General features: G+C 38.5%; 1 annotated feature.

Annotated features, from left to right (window-relative positions):
* Positions 2,568-3,767: an enhancer, noted in NCBI's record as "BRD4-independent group 4 enhancer chr7:145115119-145116318 (GRCh37/hg19 assembly coordinates)". NCBI's record gives its function as "activates an origin of replication core promoter dependent on BRD2, P300/CBP, MED14 and CDK7 cofactors, and independent of BRD4, by STARR-seq in HCT116 cells {active_cell/tissue: HCT116}" and the evidence as "EXISTENCE:reporter gene assay evidence [ECO:0000049][PMID:35650434]".

Genomic DNA, 12,657 nt, shown 5'->3' on the forward strand with positions numbered 1-12,657 from the left:
GTATCAGGATGATGCTGTCCTCATAAAATGAGTTAGGGAGGATTCTCTCTTTTTCTATTGATTGGAATAGTTTCAGAAGGAATGGTACCAGTTCCTCCTTGTACCTCTGGTAGAATTCGGCTATGAATCCATCTGGTCCTGGACTCTTTTTGGTTGGTAAGCTATTGATTATTGCCACAATTTCAGAGCCTGTTATTGGTCTACTCAGAGATTCAACTTCTTCCTGGTTTAGTCTTGGGAGGGTGTATATGTCGAGGAATTTATCCATTTTTTCTAGATTTTCTAGTTTATTTGTGTAGAGGTGTTTGTAGTATTCTCTGATGGTAGTTTGTATTTCTGTGGGATCAGTGGTGATATCCCCTTTTCATTTTTTATTGCATCTATTTGATTCTTCTCTCTTTTTTTCTTTATTAGTCTTGCTAGTGGTCTGTCAATTTTGTTGATCCTTTCAAAAAACCAGCTCCTGAATTCATTAATCTTTTGAAGGGTTTTTTGTGTCTCTATTTCCTTCAGTTCTGCTCTGATTTTAGTTATTTCTTGCCTTCTGCTAGCTTTTGAATGTGTTTGCTCTTGCTTTTCTAGTTCTTTTAATTGTGATGTTAGGGTGTCAATTTTGGATCTTTCCTGCTTTCTCTTGTGGGCATTTTGTGCTATAAATTTCCCTTTACACACTGCTTTGAATGTGTCCCAGAGATTCTGGTATGTTGTGTCTTTGTTCTCGTTGGTTTCAAAGAACATCTTTATTTCTTCATTTCATTATGTACCCATTCAGGAGCAGATTGTTCAGTTTCCATGTAGTTGAGCGGTTTTGAGTGATTTCTTAATCCCAAGTTCTAGTTTGATTGCACTGTGGTCTGAGAGACAGTTTGTTATAATTTCTGTTCTTTTACATTTGCTAAGGAGAGCTTTACTTCCAACTATGTGGCCAATTTTGGAATAGGTGTGGTGTGGTGCTGAAAAAAATGTATATTCTGTTGATTTGGGGTGGAGAGTTCTGTAGATGTCTATTAGGTCTGCTTGGTGCAGAGCTGAGTTCAATTCCTGGATATCCTTGTTAACTTTCTGTCTCGTTGATCTGTCTAATGTTGACAGTGGGGTCTTAAAGTCTCCCATTATTATTGTGTGGGAGTCTAAGTCTCTTTGTAGGTCACTCAGGACTTGCTTTATGAATCTGGGTGCTCAGGTATTGGGTGCATATATATTTAGGATAGTTAGTTCTTCTTGTTGAATTGATCCCTTTACCATTATGTAATGGCCTTCTTTGTCTCTTTTGATCTTTGTTGGTTTAAAGTCTGTTTTATCAGAGACTAGGATTGCAACCCCTGCCTTTTTTTGTTTTCCATTTGCTTGGTAGATCTTCGTCCATCCTTTTATTTTGAGCCTATGTGTGTCTCTGCACGTGAGATGGGTTTCCTGAAATACAGCACACTGATGGGTCTTGACTCTTTATCCAGTATGCCAGTCTGTGTCTTTTAATTGGAGCATTTAGTCCATTTACATTTAAAGTTAGTATTGTTATTTGTGAATTTGATCCTGTTATTATGATGTTAGCTGGTTATTTTGCTCGTTAGTTTGATGCAGTCTCTTCGTAGTCTCGATGGTCTTTACATTTTGGCATGATTTTGCAGCGCCTGGTACCGGTTGTTCCTTTCCATGTTTAGTGCTTCCTTCAGGAGCTCTTTTAGGGCAGGCCTGGTTGTGACAAAATCTCTCAGCATTTGCTTGTCTGTAAAGTATTTTATTTCTCCTTCACTTATGAAGCGTAGTTTGGCTGGATATGGAATTCTGGGTTGAAAATTCTTTTCTTTAAGAATGTTGAATATTGGCCCCCACTCTCTTCTGGCTTGTAGAGTTTCTGCCGAGAGATCCGCTGTTAGTCTGATGGGCTTCCCTTTGTGGGTAACCCGACCTTTATCTCTGGCTGCCCTTAACATTTTTTCCTTCATTTCAACTTTGGTGAATCTGACAATGATGTGTCTTGGAGTTGCTCTTCTCGAGGAGTATCTTTGTGGCATTCTCTGTATTCCCTGAATCTGAATGTTGGCCTGCCTTGCTAGATTGGGGAAGTTCTCCTGGATAATATCCTGCAGAGTGTTTTCCAACTTGGTTCCATTCTCCTTGTCACTTTCAGGTACACCAATCAGACGTAGATTTGGTCTTTTCACATAGTCCCATATTTCTTGGAGGCTTTGTTTGTTTCTTTTTATTCTTTTTCTCTCAACTTCCCTTTTCGCTTCATTTCATTCATTTCATCTTCCATCACTGATACCCTTTCTTCTAGTTGATTGCATCAGCTCCTGAGGCTTCTGCATTCCTCACGTAGTTCTCGAGCCTCGGCTTTCAGCTTCATCAGTTCCTCTAAGGACTTCTCTGTATTGGTTATTCCAGTTATACATTCGTCTAAATTTTTTTCAAAGTTTTTAACTTCTTTGCCTTTGGTTTGAATTTCCTCCTGTAGCTCGGAGTAGTTTGATCATCTGAAGCCTTCTTCTCTCAACTCATCAAAGTCATTCTCCGTCCAGCTTTCTTCCATTGCTGGTGAGGAACTGCGTTCCTTTGGAGGAGGAGAGGCACTCTGCTTTTTAGAGTTTCCAGTTTTTCTGCTCTGTTTTTTCCCCATCTTTGTGGTTTTATCTACTTTTGGTCTTTGATGATGGTGATGTACCAGTGGGTTTTTGGTGTGGATGTCCTTTCTGTTTGTTAGTTTTCCTTCTAACAGACAGGACCTTCGGCTGCAGGTCTGTTGGAGTTTGCTAGAGGACCACTCCAGACTCTGTTTGCCTGGGTATCAGCAGCGGTGGCTGCAGAACAGCGGATTTTCGTGAACCGCGAATGCTGCTGTCTGATCGTTCCTCTGGAAGTTTTGTCTCAGAGGAGTACCTGGCCACGTGAGGTATCAGTCTGCGCCTACTGGGGGATGCCTCCCAGTTAGGCTGCTTGGGGGTCAGGGGTCAGTGACCCACTTGAGGAGGCAGTCTGCCCGTTCTCAGATCTCCAGCTGCATGGTGGGAGAACCACTGCTCTCTTCAAAGCTGTCAGACAGGGACATTTAAGTCTGCAGAGGTTACTGCTGTCTTTTTGTTTGTCTGTGCCCTGCCCCCAAAGGGGGAGCCTACAGAGGCAGGCAGGCCTCCTTGAGCTGTGGTGGGCTCCACCCAGTTGGAGCTTCCCGGCTGCTTTGTTTACCTAAGCAAGCCTGAGCAATTGCGGGCGCCCATCCCCCAGCCTCGCTGCCGCCTTGCAGTTTGATCTCACACTGCTGTGCTAGCAATCAGTGAGACTCCATGGGCGTAGGACCCTCTGAGCCAGGTGCAAGATATAATCTCCTGGGTGCCGTTTTTTAAGCCCATCAGAAAAGTGCAGTATTAGGGTGGGAGTGACCCGATTTTCCAGGTGCCATCTGTCACCCCTTTCTTTGACTAGGAAAGGGAACTCCCTGACCCCTTGCACTTCCCGAGTGAGGGAAGGCCTCGCCCTGCTTCGACTGGCACACGGTGCGCTGCACCCACTGTCCTGCACCCACTGTCTGGGATTCCCTAGTGAGATGAACCCGGTACCTCAGATGGAAATGCAGAAATCACCTGTCTTCTGTGTTGCTCACGCTGGGAGCTGTAGACCGGAGCTGTTCCTATTCGGCCATCTTGGCTGCCCTCGCAAAATCTTTCGAACAAATCAAAACAAGGCAAGAAAATGCCATTGCTTGTTAAACAAGATATAAAAATAGATAAAAGAAAGGCTAGATACATTTTCTAGGTTACTGAAATATATGTGTGTATATATATATATGTATGTATATGTGTATATATATGTATATATGTGTGTGTGTGTGTATTTATATATGTATACACATATATATATGCAAAACTTGAATTTGCACCTGGTTCTCCAGATTAAATTTAGTACTATTCTTAAATTATGAAAAGGAAGAGTTAATAGATGCACAGAACTTTCCAAGGGAGAACAAAAATCTCCACCATAATAATCAGCAAGATTCTTATACTGCCATGATCACTGCAGATGGCAACGTGGAGTGAGAAGACCACAGCAGCTAGGTGGACCTGGGTTCTGATGGAAACAATAAAAGGAGAAAATCATCACCACAGCGTTAGTGAGACTTACCAATTCCTGGTAAATTTTACTGCTGAATTACAATATTAGGAAGATGTCTCACACTAAGGACTTTTTCTAAGGACTCATGGAAGGCAAAAGTGTATTTAGTTAGAATTGACAATTGATGAACCAATTTACAATGCAGACATAATTACAGGACAACACATTCAGGGTTAAGGTCCCAATGTGTAAAGAGGAAAATAGAGATTATAAATAAGGCACTCTGGCTGACAGAATAGACAGACTAACAGAACAGACTAGAGAGGCCAGAATAGACTCATATAAATACAATCAAATAATCTTTGACAACGAAGAAAAGACAATATAATGGAAAAAATAGAATCTTTTCAACAAGTGGTGCTAAAACAACTGGACATCCACATCCCAAAATAAAAATTAAAAAAAATCTATACACAGATCCTATAGCTTCACAAAAATTAACTCAAAATGGATCATAAATCTAAATATAAAACAAAAAGCTACAAAACTCCTAGAAGATAGCATAGAACAACAATCTAGATTACTTGGGTATAGTGATGGTGTTTTTAGATTCAACACCAAAGATCTAATCCATAAAATACATAATTTAGATGGTTTCATTTAAAATAAGTACTTCTGCTCTGCAAAAGATACTATCAAGAGAAAGAGAAGACAAGTCACAGCTTTGGAGAAAATATTTGCAAAAGGCTTATCTGATAAAGGACTATTATCCCAAATATATAAAGAGCTCTTAAAACTCAGCAATAAAATATATTTAAAAATAGGCAAAATACCTGAGTAGAGCCTTCACCAAAGAAGATGTCCAGAAGGCATATAAGCATATGAAAGGATGGTCAATATCATATGTTGTTAGGGAAATGCAAATTAAAGCAACAATTATACACCTCTTAGAATGCGCAAAATCCAAAACATTGACAACACCAAGAGTTCACAAGGATCTAAAGCAACAAGAACTCATTCATTGCTGGTGGAAATGCAAAATGGTACAGCCACTTTGGAAGACAATTTGGCAGTTTCTTACAAAACTAAACACACTGTTGCTATACAACCAACCAATCAGTCTCCTTCATATTTACTCAAATGAATTAAAAACTTATTTTTATACAAAATCTGCATGTTAATGTTTATAGCAGCTTTATTTATAATTGCCCAAACTCGGAAGCAACCAAGATGTCCTTCAGCAGATGAATGAATAACTAAACTGTGGTACATCTTAACAAAGGACTACTATTCAGGATTAAAAAGAAATAAAAAGACATGGAAGAAACAAATGCATATTACTAGGTGAAAGAAGCCAATTAGAAAAGGCTCCATAATGTAGGATTCCAGCTGTATCACATTCTGGAGAAGATCAAATTATGTAGGGAGTAAAACGATCACTGGCTGCTAGGGAAAGGATGGATAGGTGGAGTGAGGGGATTTTTAGGGCAGTGAAATTATTTTGCAAGATACTACAATAACAGACACGTCATTATATATTTGTCAAAATCCCTAAAATATACACCAAGAGTGAATCCAAATGTAAACCATGGGTTTGAGTGATGATACAGTTTGGAGTTTTGTCCCCTCCAAATCTCGTGTTGAAATATGATCCCCAATGCTGGAGGTGGGGTGCATCATGGGGTGAATCCCTCATGAAGGGCTTGGTGCCATCCCTGAGGTAATGAGTGAGTTCTCTATTTATTCATGTGAGAGCTGGTTGTTTAAAAGAGCCTGGCCGCTCTCTTGCTCACTTTCTTGTCATGTGACAGGCCTGCTCCCTCTTCACCTTCCATCACGATTGTAAGCTTCCCGAAGCCCTCACTAAAAGCAGAAGCTGACTCTGTGCTTCTTGCACAGCCTGCAGAACCGTAAGCCACAGTCAACTTTTCTTCATAAATTACCTAGCCTCAGGTTTTCATTTACAGCAACACAAAACAGACTAACAGAAGTGATAATGATATGTCAATGAAGGTTCACCAATTGTAACAAATGGACCACTCTGGTGCAAGATGCTGATAGAGGAGTAAGTTGTGCCTTTGTGGGGGCAGGGTGTATGCGGAATATCTCTGTACCTTCCTTTCAATTTTGCTGTGAACTTAAAACTGCTCTAAAAAATAATATCTATCTGAAAAAATAAGGCACGCTGGATTATTTGCTGAAAGCAGTGAAGCCTGTTATCTTAAAACTTTGTGATGGGATTGCTGAAAAATTAAGTATTTCTCCTCCCTCAATCTACACTCCTTCATTCAAGCAGTTGGTTAACCATTTGCTCCTGGACTAGGGAAAGGAATTCAGTAACATGGAAATTAGAAATATTCTGCAAATATTATTGTCTTTTGTTCCAAAAGCCTAAGCCCCAAGAAGAAATGGTATTTGGAATTGGGGCAGAGAAAAATTGTTTTAGAAACACGAGGTGGAAAAATTGGCTAGAAAAAACGAAGTCCCTTCCCCACCTTCCCTTAGTCTCCTCTCTAATATAGTTGGAAACAGACGCAGTAAAGAGAAAGTGATGAAAATAGGAAACGGAGTGGACAGACACAGTGGTATGCTGGATCCAGCTTAAATCAACTCTCATGAGCTAAATTTGCACATTTGTGGGTTCAATGACTTTATATTGGAAGCTTGAAAATGGCTATGGACTATGGTGGGAGTATTTACACCACAGAAATTGAAAAACGCCACAGCTGAGAGCTCTGTGTGTGTGTGTGTGTGCGTGTGTGTGTGTGTTGGTTTACTAGTATCATCCTCTGGTTTTTAGTGAGCTGGTTTATTTCTACACATTCTTTCCAGCAGCCCACTGAGGAACTAACAAGACCAATATGACTTTGAAGAGTATTTCAGCTATGTTCCCATGCCCAGCATGGTGTATAGGATGCAGCATGAAAAGGTGCTGGACTCGAAGCCATGTTTAGGTGGTGGTTTATGTTCATGTTGGCTTTAGGATGGATAACTTGACCTGCTGGCCTCCTATCCCTTTGTGCCTTGAGAGTATATATGCTACTCCAGACCCTGACAAAACCTAAGACATTAGATATCAGGACAAATATTTTCTCCTCCAAAGACTAAGATTATTGTCATATTAACCCGGTGAAATAGTGGTTCAAAATTAAGTTGAAATAATAGAACAGAACCTGAAATTTAGTTTACATCCAAGTCTGTTAACTGAGAGGCATACCTGCTATGCCTCCTACTAGTTTATAGATTAAGGATATTTAGAGAAGCAATTTTTAGATAAATTTAAAAAAACTATTATATGTTAATTGTAGAATAACCATAGAGAATTGCAGTAAAAATATTATCCAAACTCTAACAGATGTATTCAGTGATTATAGCTATAGATTTGGAGTATTAAGAGCTTGTTTGGGGTAATTCCAAGGGCACATACCACTATATTTTTAAAGTTAACATGGATATTGATGTATTGATGCTACATAATAATATAGAAAATTATGAACGTTAAGTTATCTCCAATGTAGAGAGGCCTGCTTTCTCCATCTCTTCTTAAAGCCGTCCCTTTCTAATATGTGTGGCATATCTCTGGGACTATACAGAAGTATACTCCATTACAGGTAAAGTTATGCATCTGAATTTCCACCAATAAATATCAAATGATTGAAAGACGAAGAATGAATGGACACACCATCTCTAACTCCAAAAAGACTAGTGAGAGGGCTGTTACAGACTCAATAAAGTCAAATTAGAATAATGTGAGAAAAGAATGGACTCTCACTAAAAATTGATGAGCATATGAAGTAATGCATATGTTAATTAACTTGATTTAACCATTCCACCATGTATACATATTTCAAAACAACATGTTGTACATGATAAATATATAGAATTTTATTTGTCAGTAGAAAAGTAAGTAAGAAATTTTAATAGAGAACAGACTCACATAGTTATAACTTTTGTGGTTAGAACACTTAATATCCACACTCCTAGCATTTTTTAATAATATATCATCATTAACTATAGTCATCATGCTGCACAATAAACCTCTAGAACGTATTCTTCCTATCTAACTGTAATTATGTGTATTTTGACCAATATCTCTCCCTGACCCTCAACCACCCCAGGCTCTAGTAGCCACCATTCTATAATCTAATTCTATAAGATGAACTTTTTTAGATTCTACAAATGAGTGAGATTGTGCAGTATTTTTCTTACACTTGAAAACGTTGTATATGATAAACATATATCGTTTTATATGTTAATTAAAATAAATTTGAAAAAAGAATAGACTCTACAGAAATAATTAAGTGATATTTGTCTCTCAGCATGTTTTTTGCACTTTCAATAACGCTATGGTTTGGATGTTTGTCCCCTTCAAAACTTGTGTTGAAATTTGATCCCTAAGATTGGAGGTGGGGCTTCATGGGTGGTGTTTGGGTCATGGCGGTGAATATATTAAGGCCCTCCTTTGGGGGTGAGTGAGTTCTAACTCTATGGTTCCCAAGAGAGCTGGTTGTTAAAAAGAGCCTGGCATCCCCCCACCCCCACCACCTCTTGAGTCCTCTCTTGTCATGTGATCTCTGCACATGCTAACTCCCTTTCAACTTCCACCACCAACAAGCCTGAGGTCCTCACCAGATGCATAATCTTGAACTTTTCCAGACATCAGAGTCATGAGTCAAATAAACCTTGTTTCTTTACAAATTACCCAGTTTCAGGCATCCTTTTATAACAATACAAAACAAACTAAGACAAATAACATATTCATAATAAGATACCCAGAGATTTTTCTTCTTTAAAAGAATAAAACTGTCTTATTCACTGTGTCGTTTCTGCATTTAAGAGTAACATGTCAGGTGCCTTTCCACCAGGATGCCTATTTAAACCTCAATGGTATAAGAATCATAAGCAACTGAATGAAAGACCTTCACTCCAAGAAGGGATCTACTTTTTACCTTTCACCGGGTCACTATCTAACATTAGATATCTCTCCTTTTAACAAGCAAAAATATCCAGCTTTATTTAGGCCTCGTAAAAAAAGATTTAAAGTCAGCTAATGAAATGTCAAATTCTATATTTTTGTTAAAGGGGCAGTAGAGAAAAGGAGTAGGATAAAAGCCAGATGCTGGTTTGTGACCTCTAAACATATTCTGAGCAAATGAATATCCCAATTACAAGTAATATTACTGTCATGGATCATATGTGAAATTATAGCAGATAAACTTTCAGATGCTCATATTTCTTTATGTGTGCTATGTGACTTTTTGTGTCTATAGAGCATGCATGCACACATGCACCATTGTCTTGGAATAAGTCACAAAGGCAAGCATAGGTTCTTGTGGAAGGATTCCCTACACTGATTCCTCTCAGAAAGGCAAATGGTTGTAGAATACCAAAAACCGCATGCAAAACGGAAAGGAAAGAAGCTTTTTAATGATATTTAAATTGTAATTATAAATAGAAAATCGATTTCCTAAAGTGATCTGGTGGGTTTTAAACATCTTTATTCACTCTCAGTGACTTTTACATTGAATGTTCTCAGTTTATAAATCAAAAGATCATTTTTAGTTGCCAGTATTGTAAATTCCACCTGCAATCTATTAATCAAGCTATGTTCCTTTTCTCTGACATCATCAGCAGTAATAAGGATTCTGCAAATGGAACTCAGCTGACAGTGTTGTAGTTGATGTATGAGACAAAAAGAATCCAGCTTGCTTTTTCATAACTGCATTGGTTCAGCAGGAGGTAATGGTGTTAAAAACTTGCTTTCTATTACTGAGGTAAGTAGATATTAGGCCAAGACACCCAGGGAGAGAAAAGAGTGTTGAGTGAATCTTGGCAAAATTCACCCTCTGGCATCAGCCATCCTTACCGTTTGCTTCAGTTTATGTGGTCCCCTAACCATTAAGTTGTATTTTGTTTCATTATAATAAAAGTGCAGTTGGAAAGGCTGATAGGCAAAACAAAATCACAGGATTCCCCTCCAATGTGTAGATTCATAACTCTTTATAATGGATTGTCACTTCTTTATTGTAATTGAATAATCAACCAACACAAAATGTTCATTACATGGCTCAAGAGAATGGCCCAACCCAAATTCCCATGGAATGTCTAAAAGGCAAGAATGTGTTATAAAAGAAAGGCAGGTAAAATATGTACAGTTGGAAAATAGAATCACAGACTATTTTTAGGAAGCATCCAATTCAACCTCTAAATTACAGATATAAATAAAATAAGACTGTTAGATGTCCCAAGTTCAAAAGCTGGGTAGTGAGAACATATCTGAATCTGAATTTTAAGACTTTTTTCCAATATTAATTTCAGCACACATTGTTTTCATGTAAACCTGAATTTTAATCCTTACTGCACCATTTATTAGCTTTGCACTGTGAGCAATGTTTTTTTTCCTCAGAGTTAATTTCCTCCTGTCTCAAGTGAAAATAGCAATATATAAATATAAAATTCATAAGGCTATGTTGAGGGTTACATGAGACTGCTTATTCAAAGTGCCAAGAATAATTCCTAAGACATCTTAGGTGCCAAATGAAGGTACTATAATTAGTATACATCACCATTGTGATGGTTAATTTTATGTGTCAACTTGGCACAGGCTATATTGCCCAGTTCTTTGGTCAAACACCAATCTAGATGTTACTCTGAAGATGTTTTGTAGAAGTAATTAACAATTACAATCAGTTGACTTTAAGCAAAAGGGATTACCCCTGACAATATGGGTGAGCCTTATCCACTCAGTTGAAAACTTTAAAAGACAAATCTGAAATTTCCAGGAGAGGAAGTATTTCTGTCTCAAAACTGTTACATAGTCATCCTTTCTGAGTTTATAGTCCAATACCCTGCCCTACAGATTTTGGATGTGAATTTGCTAGCCACCACAATCACATGATTCCTTAAAATAAATCTTTTTTTTTTTTTTTTTTTTGAGACCGAGTCTTGCTCTGTCGCCCAGGCTGGAGTGCAGTGGCGCAATCTCGCTCACTGCAAGCTCCGCCTCCCGGGTTCATGCCATTCTCCTGCCTCAGCCTCCTGCGTAGCTGGGACTACAGGCGCCCACCACCACACCTGGCTAATTTTTCATATTTTTAGTAGAGACGGGGTTTCACCATGTTAGCTGGGATGGTCTCGATATCCTGACCTTGTGATCCACCCGCCTCGGCCTCCCAAAGTGCTAGGATTACAGGCGTGAGCCACCACGCCCGGCCTAAAATAAATCTTAATACTTCTCTCTCTCTCTCCCCCTACCCCCAATTATTTGTTTCTCTGAAGAACCTTGACTGATACAATTATAAAAATAATTTTTAAAAGAAGGAAGCTGATGTCCCCTCACCCAAACATTTTGTTAATCTGAGAACAATATCTGACTCTGTACTCCCCCAACTTGCTTTGATGTAATCATTTTATCCTTACTTCAATATACAAAATATCAGAGTTTTATCAGGCATGGGCATTGCCGATCTTAGTTGATGCTCTTCATTTGCAGATCAATAAACAATATCACCACTCTTCTTAGAATTTCTCAGAGAGAGAACTCAGCCAGGTCTCCTAACTAGTTTTTCAGTAGGTCACCACTTTCAAAACATACCGTTTCGTGCTTAGATTACTTACTTAATGACTTGATGTGGCAATTTGAGTATATACTATGTAGTATACATCTTCTATATTTTAGCAAATGGGATGAAATAATATTTTCATACCCTTTAAACATCTAGATTATTTTGAACTCATGATAAACGGGAATAATTTTAAATAAGAATAGATAATTTAAAGAATAAAAAGCAACTGCACTGGATACCATTGTCACAGTTGTTTTTATCTCTCCTGCCTCCGTTATTGTCTTTCCTGAGAAAAAATGCTGACCCATTGATGCTATTTCTGGATACTGACATTTATGATAGCAAAGAGATTTACAAAAATGAGTTGTTTTCACTTTATATTTATCTTTTAAAATATTGTGGTCATTTCATTTATCCTCATGGACTTATTTTAAAATATGGCATGTTTAGGAGTTGGAGATATTTTAAATTGGGGTACAGCATGAATTTGAGTTAGTAATCTTCACAAAGAAAAAAAGGCTATATTAAATTTACAAATAGTTAGAAACCTGTGTTCCACTAGAGTCAGAGAATTGCCTCATCCATCCATGAGCAGGACCCTTTCTGAGGCTGCCAAAATTTATCCAGCAGAATGAGAGGCATCCCTTCTCTTGACCTCTGAGTTAGTGTCAGAGGAGGCCTAGAAGAGAACCAGAACTTTCACTACCACCCCAGCCTAATTGTAAGGAGGCCATATCTCCTTCTGTCCCTTTCTCCTCTCTTCCCTGTCCGCTTTGTGTCAGTAGACGCCAAGTGAGGGCAGTAATGTGAAGTATTCCTACTCTTCCCAGCCAAGGGTGTATCAGCAGAAACCAAGTGGAAGCCTGTACTTCTGTTCCCATCTAGAAGGAAGGAGATGGCATGACTCCCTCCTTCAGTAGAAGTGTCAGAAGAAGCCAGCTAAAACCAGCTTAAGATTCTCATAGCATAAAGCCCCTGATGATTAAGATGATAGAGCTATGGTTATACAGTGGGTGTAGGAAAGAGTATCATTGTCCAAGCA

This window comes from Homo sapiens, chromosome 7 (genome assembly GCF_000001405.40).
Source record: "Homo sapiens chromosome 7, GRCh38.p14 Primary Assembly".
In the NCBI taxonomy this organism is placed as follows: domain Eukaryota; kingdom Metazoa; phylum Chordata; class Mammalia; order Primates; family Hominidae; genus Homo; species Homo sapiens.